The sequence below is a fragment of the Homo sapiens genome, chromosome 11 (genome assembly GCF_000001405.40).
Source record: "Homo sapiens chromosome 11, GRCh38.p14 Primary Assembly".
Classification (NCBI taxonomy): Eukaryota; Metazoa; Chordata; class Mammalia; order Primates; family Hominidae; genus Homo; species Homo sapiens.
In genome coordinates, this window is record NC_000011.10 from 57,223,795 (window position 1) to 57,242,928 (window position 19,134).

The 19,134-nt window shown below is 47.4% G+C and overlaps 1 protein-coding gene and 1 long non-coding RNA gene across 5 annotated transcripts in view, besides 3 other annotated features; both read right to left on the reverse strand.

The window, feature by feature from the left end:
- Positions 1-7,832, reverse strand: part of LOC105369309 (uncharacterized) — a 189,617-nt gene extending 181,785 nt beyond the window's left edge. For all 3 annotated transcript variants that reach the window (XR_007062670.1, XR_007062671.1, XR_001748217.1), the window contains exons 1-2: positions 7,590-7,832; positions 5,664-6,427 (exon numbers count right to left, since the gene is read on the reverse strand). This is a non-coding gene — a long non-coding RNA (uncharacterized LOC105369309). The remainder of the gene's footprint in view (positions 1-5,663; positions 6,428-7,589) is intronic.
- Positions 7,833-9,796: 1,964 nt separating this feature from the next.
- On the reverse strand, positions 9,797-13,456 carry APLNR (apelin receptor). 2 transcript variants are annotated; one of them, NR_027991.2, is made up of 2 exons: positions 11,998-13,456; positions 9,797-10,064 (listed from the first exon to the last, which is right to left on the reverse strand). NR_027991.2 is itself a non-coding variant. In NM_005161.6 (1 exon), the coding sequence occupies exon 1, from the start codon at positions 13,208-13,210 to the stop codon at positions 12,068-12,070; it is 1,143 nt and encodes a 380-aa protein (NP_005152.1). In that variant the 5' UTR covers positions 13,211-13,456; the 3' UTR covers positions 9,797-12,067. The 2 variants fall into 2 exon arrangements, 1 of the variants encoding a protein (NP_005152.1); NM_005161.6 differs by having other exon boundaries at positions 9,797-13,456.
- Positions 13,098-13,730: an enhancer, noted in NCBI's record as "H3K4me1 hESC enhancer chr11:57004366-57004998 (GRCh37/hg19 assembly coordinates)". NCBI's record gives its function as "activates a minimal SCP1, AML or CMV promoter by ChIP-STARR-seq in naive H9 embryonic stem cells {active_cell/tissue: H9 hESC(naive)}" and the evidence as "EXISTENCE:reporter gene assay evidence [ECO:0000049][PMID:30033119]".
- Positions 16,772-17,538: an enhancer, noted in NCBI's record as "NANOG-H3K27ac hESC enhancer chr11:57008040-57008806 (GRCh37/hg19 assembly coordinates)". NCBI's record gives its function as "activates a minimal SCP1, AML or CMV promoter by ChIP-STARR-seq in naive H9 embryonic stem cells {active_cell/tissue: H9 hESC(naive)}" and the evidence as "EXISTENCE:reporter gene assay evidence [ECO:0000049][PMID:30033119]".
- Positions 18,561-18,855: an enhancer, noted in NCBI's record as "tiled region #4343; K562 Activating DNase matched - State 5:Enh". NCBI's record gives its function as "activates a minimal TATA promoter and a strong SV40 promoter by Sharpr-MPRA in K562 cells {active_cell/tissue: K562}" and the evidence as "EXISTENCE:reporter gene assay evidence [ECO:0000049][PMID:27701403]".

A 19,134-nucleotide genomic window follows, 5' to 3' on the forward strand; every position in this document is an offset into this window, starting at 1 on the left:
CTTATTAACATCTCAGGAATGATATGGTGATGTAGCCAAAACCTAAGCTATTCTTTCTCCAGCCTTCCCTATCTCACTAATTGGTATCACCCTCTTCCCAGTTGCTCAAGTCAGAAAGTTTGGATAATTCCTTCTTTCTCACCCCCTCATCCACCCACTCACTCAAACCCAGGCGATCAGAAGTCCTATTCATTCTGCATCAAAAATATAGCTCAAACCTGCCTCTCTTCTCAGTTGCTGTGGATACCACCCTAATGTGACCCACCAACATCCCTCATCTTGGCCTCTGAAGTAGCTTCCTAACCGGTCTCTCTGCTTTCCCTCCTACTCCCCTTCAACTCATTCCCTATGCAACAGCTTGAGGAACAATTTTAAATGCAAATTAGATTGTATCATTTTTCTGATGATTTCTCATTGCATTTAATAAAGTCACACTTCTTACCACAGCCTTCAAGGTCCTACATGACCTGGCCCCTTTTTGGCTCTCTTTGTCTCAGGCCACCCCCTGCCTGGCTTCCTGGGACTAGCCTTCCAGTTGCCCTGACAACCTTCCCAGAACCTACTGTGATCTTTCTTGCTTCACAGTCTCTGCATTTGCTGTTTTCTGCATCTGGGACTCTCTGAGCCTCCGTTGCACAGGGCAGGCTCATTCTTATTCTTCAGATGTCAACGGAAAGGTCAGCTTCCAAGATGGCCTTCCCCAAGCACCTTTTCTGAAGTTGTACTTAATATTATTTTCCACTTCAGATGTTATTTCCTTCATAGTATGTTCCATAACTGGCCATTTCATAAAATGGCCAGTTTATGTATCTGTGTATTTTCTATCTTTCCCTACAAAAATGCTAAGCTAGACAAGGTCTATCTCATCACTATAATCCTAGTGGCTAGCTGAGTGAGTGGCACACAGTAAATGTTCAACAAGTATTTGATGAATGAATGAGTCATCATGATTTGTCCCCAGTCTAATCCTTCCTCCTTTATTCCACATTCCTTTGTATGTATACCCAACACACAAGCTAGTCAACTTGCTCCTCAGACCTCCTATGCTCTTCCTTACCCTCTTTCACACTGTCTCCTCAGGCTGGATGCCTCCTACCACCCCCATTCCACATTCAAGTCACCAAAATCCTAGTTATCCTTTCAGGCCCATCTTCAACTCTAATGCCTGAGATTCCACCATTAGCCATTCTTAGAATTATAGAATGTCAGCCCTTATAGATGGTGGATCAAAATTACATTTATCATTTCAATTGCCCAGAGTGCTGCATGGAGAGGGATTATGAGTTTTGGCACCACAATCATACCAGAAAGGCCATCCATAACAATAGGAAGGTTATGACTGTCCCAATCTTTTTCAAGCTCCTCATGATACAGATGGGAAAACTGAGGTTGAGGCAGGTGGCATGACTTCCCAGGGAACACACTAAGTAGGAGACGGTGATGGGAACAGAGTTTCCATCTCTACATCACCAGTGTGGAATTATATCAGGCTACCTTTTCTACATCCCAGTCTGAGAAGCTGAGGCTCACATAGACTTGAAAGGTGATTGAGATTGTGAATTTTTAATTTAATATATATATATATGCAAGATATTATTTTTATCTTTCTTTTTCAACAAAGTTCTGACCAGATTAATTTCATATGCAAACTTCTGTCAATTTTTTCTAGTTTTGTTTTGATACTACCAAGATAAAAATATTTTAAATACAAGATTAATTACCAACCACCACATTCCTGGAATTGTGCACTCTCTTCTTCCTTGCACCCTTGCAAAGATCCTCCAAGACTTCTGTAGTGGAAAGGAGCTTCTCAAGTCACTTTTCTTTGTAACAGGAGTGGCAAACAGGAGAATGGGAGGAAATTAAAACCTATAGATTACTTCTTATGTGCTGGAGACTGTGAGAGTTCCTTGCAAACATTACCTCAGGTAACCTTCAAAATAGTTCTCTGAGGAAATTGCTTTTAAAGCTATTTTATTTTGACAGATGAGAAAACAGCCTATTAATGGGTGTTATGCCCCTAGATCTTTGCTCCCCTGAATGTAGTCTATGAACTAATAGCATCCACCATTGTTGGAGGGCTTTAAGAAACAAGATACTAAGGACACCCTCTAGATCTGTTGAATCCAAATCTGTATTTTAACATCTCCTAATGATTCTTCTGCACACACAAGTTTAGGAAGCAATGGTCTAGATAATACAACCAAATAACAGATGAATTAGGATTCTAATTAGGTCTGTCTGAGGACTAATTCCCAGAATCTACAACAAACTCAAACAAGCTAGCAAGAAAAAAACAAACAATCTCATCAAAAAGTGGGCTAAGGACATGAATAGACAATTCTCCAAAGAAGATATACAAATGGCCAACAAACATATGAAAAAAATGCTCAACATCACTAATGATGAGGGAAATGCAAATCAAAACCCCAATGCAATACCACCTTACTCCTGCAAGAATGGCCACAATCAAAAAATAAAAAATAATAGCTGTTGGCATGGATGCAGTGAAAAGGGAACACTTCTACACTGCTGGTGGGAATGTAAACTAGTACAACCACTATGGAAAACGGTGTGTAGATTCCTCAAAGAACTAAAAGTAGAACTACCATTTGATCCTGATAGCCCACTACTGGGTATCTACCCAGAGGAAAATAAGTCATCGTATGACAAGGATACTTGCACACACAAGTTTTTAGCAGCACAATTCACAATTGCAAAAATGTGGAACCAACCCAAATGCCCATCAATCAAGGAGTGGATAAAGAAACTGTGATATATATACATATATATGTATACACATATACATGTATATACGTATATACACGTATACGTGTATATATACATATACACATACACATATGTATATACACATATACACATACACATATGTATATACACATATACATATATACGTGGGTGTATACATACACATATATATACATATATATATAAAACATATATACATATATATACACACACAATGGAACACTACTCAGCCATAAAAAAAGAATGAATTAATGGCATTTGCAGCAATCTGGATGGGATCGCAGACTATTATTCTAAGTGAAGTAACTCAGGAATGGAAAACCAAACGATGTATGTTCTCACTTATAAGTGGGAAATAAACTATTCGGATACAAAGGCATAAGAACGACACAACAGACTTTGGGAACTCAGAGGGAAAGGGTGGGAAGGGGGTGAGGGATAAAAGACTACAAATCAAGTTCAGTGTATACTGCCTGGGTGGTGGGTGCACCAAAATCTCACAAATTACCACTAAAGAACTTACTCGTTTAACCAAATATCACCTGTTCCCCAAAAACCTATGGAAATAAATAAATAAATTAGGTCTGCCTGACTGTACCCTTAACAGAATGGACACCCAAGACACAAACATCGTGGTTTTAAAGGAGACAGGTTAAGTCATCACTGGTATAAGTTGTACACATCAGCAGCACATCTGATTACCTGTCTAGTCCTATGACCATCCCTTCCAAAGCTGTCTACAATGTAGAAAGGAGGAAACCTGGTGATGTGGAAAGTAAACAGGCCTGAAAATCAAGAGAACCAAACCAGCCAAATCAACCACTACTTAGCAATGGCCCAGTGTCCCAGGGCCCCATTTTCTTTACCAGTGAAGTGGGACTGGAGGGACAATTCTGTGCAGCTCAATTATGTGGCATTCCTCACATCAGCCCACTGAGCTGCTCCTGAAACCATCAGAGTAGAAATCACTTCCTTCTCCAACCTGTAATGTCTATCTCTAGTCAATTCCTTTGGTAATTGCTGTGTTGCTTTTTCCAAACATAAAAATAGCTTATTATCTGCACAGCAAATAACCATCACCTTGCAGGGGTCCTGACAGTGCCCCAGTACAGAGCTTGCAACCAGCTGAATCCTAAGAATCTCAAGGGCTTCCAGGTCTCATCCCGGAAGCCAACTAACCACCATATTGGTGTATCTATTTTCCTAAGGGCAAGGGCTGCATCCATTATCTTCATTCCTGGCACGTTGCAGTGACAGTCCTCAGACTCTGGGTCACTGGCTGGCCCTGCTACCAAAGTTTTTTTTCTGCTAAAGAGACCAGACCCGGTCCACGTAGAGTAAAGCCTGGGTCCCTCTCTCTCTTTCTATTTTTTTGAGACTGAGTCTCACTGTGTCGCACAAGCTGGAGTGCAATCGCACAATCTCGGTTCACTGCAATCTCTGCCTCCCTGGGTCCCTCTCTTATCATCAGAGGCTGCTTCATCCCTATCATACAGGAAGACCTAGTGACCTTAGGGACATATTCCAGACCCAGAAGAAAGACTGCCAAATCTTCCTCGATGCCCTTAAACATGGCCCAGATTTTCTCAGGGAACGGAAGAGAAGTTTTCCTTGAGTATTTTTATACAGGGGGAAATCCAAGATCTTATTTTCTATTCAATCGGTACATCCCCCACCCTCACCACAAAAGTCCTTCCTCCATGAACAGTGGATGTCCAGACATGGATTCCCAGAAACTGTTTGACTCAGTGTCGGCTCCACTTGGCTCATCCATAACTTCCCCAGGAAGCCAACCAGCTTTGCAAACCATCATCCATCCAAAGAGACCTGAAGACCTAGTTTCCAGTATGAACACTGAACTGGTTGCCACAATGCCATAATTTGAGAAATTCTGCTGAGAAGATCAGAAGAGCCCATGTACCATGGTCCAGCCAGTCCTTTTTTCTGTCACTGGGTCCCCAGAGGGCAGCCCTTAGGAGCCAGAACATTTGGTTTAATTGGGTCAGGGGTTAATAATCTTAGTACTTATCAATCCCAGTGTGTCTCTTGTAGCACCAGTCCTAACTTCATCTTTCTGGGCTATTTTAAAAGCAATCAACTTGTTTGCTGTAAGCAAAAACCAGCTTTTCTCACCTTTTCTCCTGCACTTTCTCTATTCAGTTGTTCGATTATTTAAGCAAACATCCTTTAAGCATCTGCCACATTCCAGGCACTGGGAACAAAAAAGATGCATAAACGTAGCCCTAGTCTAGAGGATCTGCCCAGAGAGCAGAAGAGATGAGAAGGAATGCAGAGCCCAGACAGAGTGGCCAGATCTGGGCTTTTCTAGAGACCTGTTCCCTGTGCGCAGGGGACAAGGGGCTGGGAGTACTAGGGTGCTGGCCAAGTGGGGTGCTTCAAGTAGGTTTGGGGAATCCATTTCTGATTATCCACTGTCCATGTAAGAAGCTGCCTCAAGTAGCAAGAGATGTGCCATATAACTAAATAATAAAGTACAGAACAATATTCGGGGAGATGCTCACTGAGCACAAATAGTCCTTTGTCTCATGTCCTCAGGTTTCTAGTTATTTAGGCAAGAAAATGCACCCTAAGGTGGCTTTGGAAGTAGGAGAATGTCAGACATTTATACCCCTGTGGAATTGAACGTGGGCCTGTGCATTGAGCCAGCACACTAGCCCTGTCTTGGGACCCCTCTGTGGTGCAGACCAGAATATGGGTGTTTGTCCCCACTGCATCCTGTACTTCCTCCGCAATATGCTTACTGCACTTTATTATTGATTGTTAAACTCCAAAAGAGCAGGAATCACATGTATATCTTGTATTGCTTCATCTCATCACCAAGCATGTGCCTGATATATGGACATAGAAAGATATTTCTACATGGGACAAAATACCTGAGCAATGTTCCTCCAAACCGTCAAGGTCATCAAAAACAAAGCCTGTGAAACTGTCACAGCCAAGAGAAGTCTGAGACATGATGACTAAATGTGATGTGGTATTCTGCATGAGATCCTGGAACAGAGAAAGAACATGAGCTAAAAAGTAAGGAAGTCTGAACTTCAGTTCATAGTGAGGTATCAATAGGGTTGGACTTCAGTTCATAGTGGACTTCAGTTCATAGTGAGGTATCAATAGGGTTCATTAATTGTGGCAAGCATGTCCTGCTAATCTAAAATGCTAATAATAAAGGAAACTGGGTGTGGAATATATGAGGACTCTCTGTATTCTATCAGCAACTTTTCTGTAAATCTAAAACTCTTCTGAAACAAAAGGTTTATTAACAAAACCTCGAATGATCCTCAAGCACCTTTGTGCCCTCCTACTTCCCAGTTGGTGGCTCATCATGGATCTGACTCTCCACTTGCCCTGTGTGTTCTCAATAAGAGACTTCCTCTCCTTTCTAAGCCTAGAGTCACAGAACACGCTCTTGCCTGGCAGTGAGGAACCTGAGATCTAGTCCCACTTCTGCCACCATCCCACTATATGACCATGTGTCAATCATTTCCCCCTCCCAACCATAAGCCTCAGTTTACCCCTCTGTTCAATGAGAAAGTAAGACTAGAAGGTGCTTCTAGTCGGTCCATGAAGGCAGGGATGGTGTGTCTCATTCACGGCAGCATCTCCAGCTTCTAAGACAGTCCCAGGCACAAGACAGACACTGAAAAACAAAAAAGGATTCAATGAATAAATAAATGAGCATTGCTCTGATACTCCAACACTCTAACTAGAAATGGAAACTTCTAGAGTGAGCTCAGCATCTCAGAACCTCCTTTCTTGTGTATTTGATTTCAAGCTCCCTGGGTCACATCTTTGTGTCTGTCTCCAACGTCGTGCATGGAGACTTTATAAGCATTTGTGCAATGATTGAGAAGAGCTGGCCCTCCCAGATCAGGCCCTGCAAGTGTTGAACTCCTTGGAATGCAGACAGTGGTGTCTGCTGAGACGGTAGGGAGGTGTGTCACATCTAAAGCTTATTGCGCTGGGGGTCATCCTGGCTTCTGAAGTTGGGGAGGATCTTCCCACGGAATCTATCTGCCTCTTTTTAACAAGCTCAGACTGAAAGGGCCTGGGCCTCCCAACCCCTAGTTAGGAGACCCTGGCAGATAACTTAGAGGAAGATAGCTCAAACCCAGGGAGGGAAGAAACTGGAAGTGACAAAAAGAATAAAAAAGAAAAGAAAAAAAGAAAAAAAAAAAGCCCTGCACAACCCCAATTGTCTAGAGACCTGGATTCCTGGATTTTAGTCCCAGCCCCCAGTATTCTCGGCATCCACGCCATGAGAACTGGGCAAGATTTTCTCTGTGCCTCTAACTGGCCAACCTCCCAGAGTTGGAGTGGGGGTGAGTAAAAACAAGGATGAGTGTTCGTTCCAGTTCCTCAGAGGGGCTGTGTTCTCCGTGGGCAATTCCTCTGCCCAGAACATTTTCCCCACTAACCACTTACACTCCATGCTTCAGAGCAGGCTCCAGGCAGGCACCGTGGCTGTAAAGTCTCCCCTGACGCCCTGCCTGACTCCTTCCATTGTCTCCACGACAGGCCCTCGAACACTTCACACATTCCCTTAGAACTCACCACCCTGGGCTGTAATCGCCCATTTCACTGTCTGCCTCCACCAGCCGACTGCGAGCCCACTGGAGGCCGCTCACCATTTGGTCCTGCGTCCAGCATAGCGCTTGGCACATACGTGATAAATAAGGACTTGTGGAACAAACAGATGAATGAATGGGTGAATAAATGAAGGCATGTGTGAACCAGTGAATTAGTAAGTGCTGTCACAACCAAGGGAAGGCTAAAACCGTATCATGTTTTGGATAGCTTACCTCAGATTTCCCAGGAGACTTGCTGAGGTTTTTTACAGCATCTGTAAAAATAATGATAATAGTGGCTCCAATAGCCTGTTGTTGCCGTCGTAAATTCCCAAAGGGCTTTCCCTGGTGTGTTTCAGAAGAGGGAGAGCAGGCACTGATTCCCTGCCCTCAGTCTCCCTCCCTGCCTCCCCGTTTCTTCTTCCCACCTATGTTCTCACTCTCTGTCTCTCTCTGTCTCTATTTCTCTCTCCTCACTCTGCCTCTCTTTCACGGTCTCTGTCTCTGTCTTTGTCTCTGTTTCTTTCTCTTCCCACTGTCCCTGTCTCTCTCTCTCTCTCTCTCTTTCACTCTCTCTGCCTGTTTCTCTCTCTTCCCTCTCTCTCAATCTCTCTCTCCTCTCTCTTCTCTCCCTCTCCTTCTTTCTGTCTTTTTCTTTCACTATTTCTGCCTCTGTTTCTCTTTCCTCTCTCTTTCTGTCTCTCTTTTCTCTTTCTCTCCCTCCATCTCTGTCTCTTACACTATCTTTGCCTCTGTTTCTCTCTTCTCTCTCCCTCCCTCTGCCTCTGTCTCTATCTTTTTCACTATCTCTGCTCTGTTTCTCTCTCTTCTCAATCTCTCTCTTTCTCCCTGTCTCTCCTCTCTCTCCCTCCTTTGTCTCTATCTTTCTCTTTCACTGTCTACCTGATTCACTCTCTCTTCCCTCTCCCTCTGTCTTTTCTCTCTCAATTCCTCTCTCCCTGCTTCTATATCTCTCTCTTTCACTATCTCTGCCTCTGTTTCTCTCTCCCCATACTTCATTTCTCTCTCTCTGTCTCTCTCTCTCTTTCTCTCTCCCCCTCTCTCTCTTCCCTTGTCTCTATCTTTCTCTTCACTATCTCGCCTCTCTCTCTTCTTTCTCTGTCCCTCTGCTTTCTCCTCTCTGCCCTGTCTCTGTCTTTCGGGTACTCTCCATCATTTCCCTCCCCATCCCCATTCACTCTCCACTGTGTGCCAGGCATCTCACACAGAAGTTCTCACTTTCCTTCCCAGACACCTAGTGTTGCCTCATTTGTACTTTGGGAGAAACATCCCCTTACCATGGTCAAGAATGTGGGCTTTGGGCTTGGGAGCCAGACAGATTCAGCTGGTTCCAAGCCCAGCTCTTCCACCTGCTAGTCTGTGATCTTGGTCAAGAGGTCTAACTAACCTCTCTGAGTCTCAGCTTCCTTATGAGCAAAATGAGGTGAAAATGCCCCCTCTTAAAGGATGGCTGCAAGGATTAAATGAGATAATGCTTGGGAAATGCTTAGCACAGTGGCAGAACTCCATAAATGCGAGCTCTCTTGTTACTATCAGTTCTACTATGATTATTATTTTTTTGCATTGTCTGCAAACATTATTAATACCCAGGAGATCATTATTGAAGATGACAAATACCTCTGGACTGAATAGCCCCACCACCACGCCGACCCCAGGATCATTTCAGCCCCTTCCCCCCTCCTCCAAATAGATGACCACCAAAGCCCAGTTGGCTGTGGTTCTGACCCTCTGGTCTTCTATGCCCACTTTAATTTGGGCAGAATCCATCTGGATAGAGATTCCCTAAGCCTGGCTTTCCCAAAAAATTATCTGAGTTTTTAGTAATTGTAAATATCTGGGGTGAGTCAAGGAGAGTCTGACTCCATAGGTCTGGGGTGATACCCAGGAACTGGGTATTTTCAAAAGCATCCAGAGCGACTCTGATTGGAGAACAGGGATTCAAGCTTCTGGTCTAAACTCAGTGGCTACTCAAGTGATATTAAGTAAATCAATCAATAGGAGATGGTAAATGAATAAAGGCATAAATGAGTAGATGGATTGGTGGATGGATGGATGGATGGATGGATGGATGGATGGATGGATAGATGAGTAATAGGTCTACCTCCATGGGAAGAAATGCTGGTATTTTTCCCCAGACCTATGCTCTGGCCTCCAAAATATGTGTCCTTTTGTTCTGTGGCTTTTCAGAGCACAACACTTAGCTGCTCCCCTGTTTCTTTTCTTCCTTTTCTTCTCTGCACCTAAATCCCATCCTTTCCCTTTCCTGATGCCTATTTCCTCCATCCTCTCTCCCTCCTCACTTCGCCCCCTCCTTTTAGCTCCCACTTCTCTTTACGGCTTCCCCCTCACCATGCTGAAACATTTGCAAGCTGGAGGTTATCCCAAGACACTTTCATGAGAAGAGGCTTTGGACACAACAGTTGCACAAACAGTTTTATTTGATGAACCACAGTGACTAACAGGATCAGAAGACAGTGCAGATATTCTGAAGAAGGCACTGGGGGAGGTAAGGGGGTATCACAGCAGGCAGCCTCCTCTGCTTCTGTCCCAGTTCACAGATGAGTTCCAGGCAGGAAGTCTCTGCAGGTCACCCACGGCGGCCTCAGAGGGACAATTTCTTCCCTTCTAGAAGCCTCTTCCAGTGTTCACTGGATGCTTTGAGGACAGCTCTGGGCAGAGGAGGTGACTCTGTGAAAGATGCTATCTTAAGATGGGGAGACTAGGCTGTGAGGAGCCCCTTCCCCTCTCCTCCTCCCTCTGCCCCCAGAGCTGGCGTCATTCCAGGGAGGGTCAAGATGTCCATTCACATCAAGCTGGGCTTTTCTTATCTCCATCGCTCATGTCTTGTCCTTCACTTTCATAGTCCTCCAAGAACAAAACCCGGAATAGACACTCCCAGCCTCTAGCTCACAAAGGCCCCACTATTAATTTCATCCTCACGGTCTCTCTGGCAGTGTAGACATCATGCTATCTGCACACTTGCTCCAGTCCCTATTCCCAGATCCCCAATCCAGCAGAAGCCAAGAGGTCCAATCCTGAGGGTAGGGAGAGAAAAAACCCACCCCGTGCCTTTTGGCCCATGGCAAGCAGGAGGCCTCCTTAGGAAGAGGGCCACTGACCCTGGAACAAGAAAGGACGATGAGGGCAATGCTCATAAATTTGAAGCCAGGCGGGGAGGCACCGGAAAGGGGCCAAGGGAGGCTCTCAACTAGCCTCTTACTTCCTTCATGGAGCCCAAGAAGGAGCAGGAACCCAGCTCAGTAGGACGCCCCCAAGCCTTGGCGCCAGCTGCTTTGGGGAGGGATCTCCCTACAGGAAGCCTGGTGCAAACATTAACTTCGCTCCTAAAGCACGGACCAGCCGTTGGAGCCCCCAAATCCAGTAGGGGGTGGACTCATTTTTATTCTACATTTTTCATTGCCTCAGTGTGTCCCTGCCCCCCACCACCCCCTGCCAAGGGTAATGTGTGAACAGCAGAGTTGCAGTGGATTGGGGGGTGGGAGGAGGTTTGTCCAAATGACCCAGGCACACTGCTGTTCATGCCAGGCTCATCCATATAGACATATAAGTACAACACACACAGACAAGAGGCAGGCATCTCCATCCCAAACAACATGATTCTTGGCACCAAGTAGCACCAGTGCCCAAGAAAGAAATCAGTATGATGGGGTAAGATGGGGAGATGAGGAAACCCTTCAGCTCACAGTTATGCAGGAAGTCAGAAACAGGAGGACTCGGGGAGCGAGCCAAGCAGTGTCTGGACTAAATGCAGACACCCCTCCATCCTCTCTCTCTAGTTGCCCTTCCCAACTCCCCACTCACATAATGAAACCAAGGAGTACATCCATTCATCAGCCCTGCTGCCTTCCAATTCTCATAGAAAATAGAGGAAGGATGAAAGGGTCTGCGGACAATTTGGAGAAAGCATATCTAGTCAGTGTCATGGTGCCATGGGGGAACTGCAGGAATCACACTAGCCCCAATGCCCAAAATGACAGGGAAGTGATCCAATTTTAGGGCAAGCTCTGGAGCTCCCAGATCTAAGGGCTGGAGCACTAATTATCTGCTGACACACAGCCCACCCCCGGCCCCAGCCCATTCCCTGCCTCACACTCAGAAAACAGGATAGAAAGCTTAAACAGGGTCAGTCTCTGCAAGCTTTGGGATCCTTAACCCTTAGTAGCCCTTCAGAACAAGAAAGTAGACAGGGGAGAAGGATGGATGGAGGGAGGGGGACGAGCTGTAGGAGGGGATTGGTGCCAGAAGGCAGGGATAAGGAGCGGCAGCTGCAGAGAGTGGTGGGGGAAAAACTACAAGGAAAGAAGGGAGGAAAGACGATTGCAGATCTAAGAAAGCAGCAGAGGGAAACAAGCTTTTACTGCGTCCAGACTCAGGCTTCAACATTTTAGGATCAATATGACTTTCCCCCATTTCATACCAATGGAGAAACTGAGGCTGAGTGAGATTAAATGGCTTGTGCAGGGTCAGGTCTGTAGAGCCCAGTCTCTTTCCCCTAAACCACAAACCTCTGAGAAAGAATAAAGCAGTAGAGGAGGACAGGGCGGGGCAGAATCAGGGGACAGTTAAAGGATGTGCATAGGACAAGGAGTAGCCACACTACCTGATTTTCAGAAAGCAAGGGCAAAGGCCGGGGAGGGCCGAGGGCGCCAGGCTTCTCTCTGCTCCCAGCCCTAGTCAACCACAAGGGTCTCCTGGCTGTAGGGGATGGATTTCTCGTGCATCTGTTCTCCACCCTTGCCCATGTTGGGGCCGGGCCCCTGGCTGTGCCCCGAAGAGTAGCTGGCTGACTTCTCCCCACTGCTGCTGTGGGAGGTGCCTGCGCACCTGCTCTGGCCACAGCAGAGCATGGAGGTGCAGGCCTGGCGGAAGCGGGGGTCGAAAAAGGCATAGAGGAAGGGGTTGAGGCAGCTGTTGACGTAGCTGATGCAGGTGCAGTAGGGGAAGATGTTCATGAGGAAGAGGTCAAAGTCACAGGGCCAGTGCAGCAGGCTGCCCAGCATGTACAGCGTCTTCACCAGGTGGTAGGGCATCCAGCACAGGGCAAAGGTCACCACCAGCACCACGATGATGCTGAGCAGCCGGCGCCGCTTCCGCAGGCCCTCGATGCGTTCCTTGCGGAAGTGGCCAGCGATGGTTTGGGCGATGAAGAAGTAACAGGTCAGCATGATGGTGAAGGGCACCACAAAGCCCACGGTGGTGGACGAGACCCCAAGGCCCACCTCCCAGGCCCACTCTGAGCTCACAGTGGCCACCATGGAGTAGTCCATGTAGCACTGCACCTTAGTGGTGTTCTCCAAGTCCCCGGTGGTGCGTAACACCATGACAGGCATGGCCAGGAGGGCGGCCAGCACCCAAAGAACTGCCGTGGCCACGGCCCCGCTGACCCGCAGCCTCAGCCGAGCATTGGCCACTGGCCTCACGATGGCCAGGTAGCGGTCGAAGCTGAGGCCGGTGAGGCAGAAGACGCTGGCGTACATGTTGACGAAGATGAGGTAGCTGCTGAGCTTGCAGAAGAAGGTCCCAAAGGGCCAGTCATAGTCCCGGTACGTGTAGGTAGCCCACAGGGGCAGCGTCACCACGAAGGTCAGGTCAGCCACCGCCAGGCTAGCAATGAAGATATCAGCTGAGCGCCTCTTCTCCCGGCTGCTCCGAAACACGGTCCAGAGCACCAGACCGTTGCCCGTGGTGCCCAGGAGGAAGACCAACATGTAGATGGCAGGGATGAGGGCCCCCGAGGATTTCCAGTCTGTGTACTCACACTCAGACTGGTTGTCTGCCCCATAGTAGTTGTCAAAATCACCACCTTCCTCCATGCTGGGGAGTGGAGAGAAGACGGGCAGAGGGTCCCAGGGACACCAGCTCCGTGGCTCTGTCACCCACTCTGCAAGCAGCCTGAATTTCTGGCTTGAGCCTCAGAGAGTAAGAAGGGCTGAAGATGCCCAGAGTCCTTCCCAGCACTCAGGAGGAGCTGCCTCTGGGTTCTCCAGACCCTGGAGGAAGCCTGTCTCCTGCAGAATTTCCTCCACCCTCTCTTGCCTTACCCCCGTCTCAGTTAAGACACTTCCTTGCACCCTCCTGCGTCCCTGTCTCCTCCTTGACTCGTCACTCCCTCCTCCCACCTCCAGACCAGCCCCTCTCTTGTGAGTCAAAATCTTTAGTGACAGCCCACTTTTTTTTTCTTTTTGTCACTGAGCAAGTGGACCAAATTGACCCCTACTGTGCTGGGCTGAACATTATCTGTGGTTTTGCAAGTCGGCTTTCCTGGCCCCGCCTCTCCTTTCTGGCTGCCACCCACCTTCACCCCAGCCCCTATCCCTCCACTTTCCTCTGGCCACCACTTCCTGCCTGCCCTTTAGGGCACTCCCTCCTCAGTGCTCTCCGCCCTCCTGTTCTCACCCCCTTCCATCCAATCTAAATGGGACACATTATGCAGATTGCAATCCAGCTTGAGCTGGAGCCAGGGCTGGTAGGGAGCAAGGAGGGTGTAAGATTTCGCAGGATGGGCAGGGCATCTGGCAGGTCCTCCTGGCAGGCAGGTCTGGCCCCCTCGGCTCCCTTCCTGCACCCCCAGCCCCCACCCAGACCAGGTGTCACAGGAGGGTCTTCTCCCACTTTGCCTCTCGCTTCATCTTTCTCTACCCCTTGGCTTTGACCCTCCCTCTGAGAACTTTTGTGGTTTCTAGAGAAATACCCCTACACTAGTGTAGACTGCAGTTTGCAGTTTGCGGAAGGCACAGGATGCTTTAGAAGGTTGAGGGCAGTCACAGGATGGAAGAAACCCAGGACAAAATTATCTCTAAACAAGTCATTAAATCTGTAGGAAACAAAGGCCCAACAAGGTCAATGTTTTGCCCAAGGTAATAAAGTGAATTATGCTACAGTTGATTGTTTGCTTTTCTTCTTCTCCAAACACGAACATAATACAGTACCTGGCATGTCGTAGGTGAATGGCTGTTTTGTTTGTTTGTTTGTTTGTTGAGACAGAGTTTCACTCTTGTTGCCCAGGCTGGTCTAGGCTCACTGCAACTTCTGCCTCCTGGGTTCAAGCGATTCTCCCGCCTCAGCCTCCCTAGTAGCTGGGATTGCAGGCTAATTTTTTTGTATTTTTAGTAGAGATGGGGATTGACCAGGCTAGTCTCAAACTCCTGACCTCAGATGATCCACCCACCTCGGCCTCCCAAAGTGCTGAAATTACAGGCATGAGCCACCACGCCCAGCCAGGTGAATGGCTGTTGAGTGAGTAAGTGGATGGATGATGTAGGAGGTGAGTGAAAAGGGGAATCCATAGATGGAAGAACAAGTGTAAGAATTACTACGTGGTGAGAACATGGATACATTTCAGTTCTCAGGTTTTTACTATCCTCCATGGACCAAGAGGTTTCTGTAAGACCACAGGGGGTCAGGAAGTTGAGCTAGAGGAGGGGGGTCTCTAGAGAAAGACTCAGTCACTGGAGGATACTGTGGGGAAAGTTCCGTAGACGCTCACTTTGCCCCAGCTCATCACCTCTCCAGGACCTCTAGGAAGGAAGGAAGATGCACGACGTAAGATTTTTTTTAAAAAATACGCACCCTTTCCACAACCTTGAAGAGTTGGGGAAGCCACCTGACGTTGGGTAATAGTGAGATGGAACAAAAGCAGGAGCTGAGCCTTAGCCACTTCCAAGGCAAAAGACTTACAAAAGCTGGAATTGGCCAGGCAAGGTGGCTCATGCCTATAATCCCAGCACTTTGGGAGGCCAAGGCAGGAAGACTGCTTGAGCCCAGGAGTTCAAGACTAGCCTGAATAACACAGCCAAGACCCTGTCTCACGATATATATTTGTCTTAAGTTACTACAAAAGCTGGAATCCATTTTCTGGAGGGAGAGTGGATCAGAAAATCATATGCAGAGATCAAGGAACTCAAACTCAAATACCTGCAAAAAAAAAAAAAAAAAACAGGCCAAGAGTGTAGTTTGAGACAACAGAGAATGGTAAAGACTGTGGCAAACTGGAGGGTGCCCATTCCATCATAGGGAGGCCTCTTCAGCTCTAGTCTCTGGTTGCCACGCAGAAAGCTGGACCCCAGCATGACTGTGTCTTAGGATTTTTCCAAGATAATTTCAAATTATGGATTTTTGTAAGAAATTTTCATATTTGTAAATTTTGGAAATCAATTTTCATTTCAAAAAAAAGCACAGACCATGATAAGTAAAACATGTCTTTGGCCCCCGAGTTTGTGTTCTTTAAACAGGAGCTTGCCAAGAATAGAAGGCAGGAGAAGAACCAAGAGGATGGGGCAGGAGGAGGAAACAAAAAATGCAAAGATAGAAAAAGCCTTAGAGTGCAGTGGGGAGATACAGGAGAGAAGGCTGCAGAGAGAGATTAGAAAGATCCTGTGACCTTCACCTAAATGCAATGTGGAGTAATGAATATGTTGGTGTTTCTCATGAGGACTACATGTTGCCCACTTATTGTGTGCCAGGCAGTCTTCTAAACATTTTATACATTCTACATATATTTATTAGTATCTCTTTTAATCATCAAAATGACATTAGGAGGCAGGTGCTCTCATTAGCCTCAATTTACAGATGAGGAAACTGAGGCACACAGAGGTGAAGCAGTTTAGCCAAGATCACCCAGCAGTAATTGTCAGAGCCAGAATTTGAACCAAAGCTGTCTCGAGCCCATGGACTAAACCACTATGCTCCCAAAGAAAAACGCCCAATCCTTTTTAAACTGAGGGGTGTGTCATCTGTTAAGCATTAGAGAAATGTAGGGCGATGCCAGGATACCTGTAATTTACCTTAAAATAAGCTCTACCGGGTGAGATTTTAAATAGATTGACTATTTAGAGACACACCTCACATTGATTAGACAGGGTATAAGAATCCTGCCAGGCAATAATCTGTACACTTAGGGTTAGCACCATAGACTTGATCCAGAAACCACCCTCGCTCTAGCCATTGCCAAAGAGAATTCCTGGTTGCCTGGTGCCAGCTAGAAAGCTAACAGGACTCTGCCCCTGGAATCTTGGCATTCTGTACAGTGGGGGCTGGGACACCCAATAGGATCCAGAGCTGGGGCTCCATCCATCTCACAGTACACAGGGTAGGAATTGCTTGGGGCCTCTTGCTCCTGCATTTTTGGCTAATAGAAGTTCTGCGCAGATGGCAGAATGGTTTTCATTATATCCTGACATTCATTCATCATATCATGATTCATTCATCATATCCTGATATAATAGTTTCATTATATCCTGACATTATATCCTGGGTGGAAATAGCTAACCTTTGGCTACCTCAGACTTCTTCAGTGGTAAGCTATCTTTACCTATCAAAGGGGACCTTGGAGTTGTGCAGGGACCAGCTTGGCTCAGGTCAGGTCATAATAGATGGCCCTTTTACGAGTAAACATTACTGCTTGGGACATTCCAGGATAAAGACCAAGTTTGAGACGCCTAGTGATCCCAGTTCTCCCATGATTCTCCCAGAAAGATGCAGATGTCTGTGCCCTTTGCAGCTAGAAATACAGAGAGAAGGGAGCTAGCAAGCTTGAAGCGTCCCTGAAATCAGGTCCCTGTCTCCCTCCCCTCAGCTGTTCCCACTGGAATGCTGAGCCAGACAGGAGCCTGGAGACCCCTGTGGGAAAGGATATGGATCCATCGCTTTCATCTGCCGACCTCCAGGATGTCTGCCCTAGAGGGAGTAAAGAGCAGTTAATCTCACTAGAGTTACCAGACTCATTGAGAGGGGAGGGAATTGGGGGCCAGGGCTGGGAAGAGGCCACCGTTTGGGACCAGAGAGGGTAGAGTGCTGATAAGATCCGGCCTCCAACCAGGAGCCAGCTGTAGCCAGATGGCCTGAGTGCCCCCTGCAATGACAGCCTGAAGTGAGCAGAATTAGCCAGCTCACTCCTTATCCTGCCTGATCTGATCTGTCCCTGTTCCGCATTGCACCATTCCACACAGAAGAAAGACTGGAAAATAGGACCAGTAGCTGAAGATGAAACTTGTGTGTCCCGGGGCTCAGAAGTATATGGGTCCTGGGCCTCACAGACTAGACATATACAAGGCCTGGGACAGATATCTTCTTTTCATTTCTGCCCCCCACCCTACTTGGCACCTGGTAAAAGTCTGTTGAATTAAAGCAATAGAAACACACTCAGGAGAAGGGTGTAAGACTTGGATCTTCACCCCAGAGCTGCTCTACTGCATTAACAAGGCAACTTTTGCTAAAGTGATCCAGGAAATTCTACTCTGAGCTATCTGGCAAACCAATAGCTAAGGCAAGCCTGTTGGCCAGGGTGCCCAGAGCTGGCCTGCCCTGGAGAGGCCTGCACAGGTTTCCTGGGGAACTTCCCTCTCTCTCCTGGGTGATTTCTTCAGGGCATTGTGATGAGACCGAGATGAATGACACCTGGCAGAAAAGCACTCCAGACCTGCTAGTGCCCTTTGAGGAGAGCCCAGACTTCTGGGAGACCTCTGGAGTCAGTGGTTCAATATTCCTCACCCACCCCACCACCAGGTTTGTGCCTGGCCTAAAAAGCAGAGCCTGACTTGGCCTGTGCCCATGGACATGCTGACTATGTGTGCTTTGTGAATGCAAGTTTTCTGTGTGCCACGAGGTCACTTGGATGTGAAGTCTGTAGGTGCTTGTGAGCAGGCTGAACTTGTGTGTGCAGGGGGATATGAGTGTGCACTGGGTGCATGCATTCATGGATGTAGAATAGTGTGCTTGCTTGTGCATAGTGAGGTAGGATGTGCATTGGGTGCATGCATTCATGCATGTAGAACAGTGTGCTTGCTTGTGCATAGTGGGCTATGATGTGCATTGGGTTCATGCATTAACGTGTATAGAAGAGTATGCATGTTTGTGTGTTGTAGGCATGAGCGTGCACTGAATGCACACATTCACCCAAGGAATGTACATCAGGTGCGTAGAAGAGTGTGCTTGCTTGTGTGTAGTGGGATCAGAGATCTGAATAAACACACTGCTTGCAGTACAGGGACGGGTGCTTAATTGGATCTCTCTAAGAGTTTGGGATGAAGGGGGAAAGCTGAACCCCTCTGCTGGGACCTCACCCAGACCCTACCCAAAGCTGTGGGCTGGGGACATCAAAGTGGAAGTACTGCCTTTCTGTGCTCTTCCTGACTTCTCACCTCCTCCCTCCTAGCTCTCTGCTCCAGCCCCCTCACTTCACAGGTCTGCTTTGAACTCCACAGCTTGGGAACTCACCCAGGGCAACAGGGCCTTTTTCTCTCCTTCCCGAGAGGCAGCCACAGCTGTGTCCCTAACAGCTGGTGGTGTTATCTGAGGGAAAGGGGAAGGGAGGGCAGGGACACAGGAGGGATATAACTTGACTGCCCAGCCCACACTGAGGAATTTCACCTCTCCTTTCTCTAGCACACAACACCCCCAACCCCCACCCTAGGCACGCGCGCGTGCGCGCGCGCACGCGCACACACACACACACACACACACACACACACACACGCCCGACTTTAGCAGCTTATCTGACCAAAAACAAATGGTCAGCCGCTTTCTGATAATTAAAACAGAAACCCCCTCAGCAACTCTCTCCACCCCCAACCCCACCATTTGGTGCTATTTCAAACTCTAAGGCCATACTGCAAACTCCCAAAACTCCCTGGTCTCTGGGGACAGCAAGAAAACTCACCCACTGGCCTGGTTCTAGCTTTCTGTGATTCTGGGAATTACGGCTATGGCTTCCAAATATGGTTGGAGAAGTGGGTTTCTT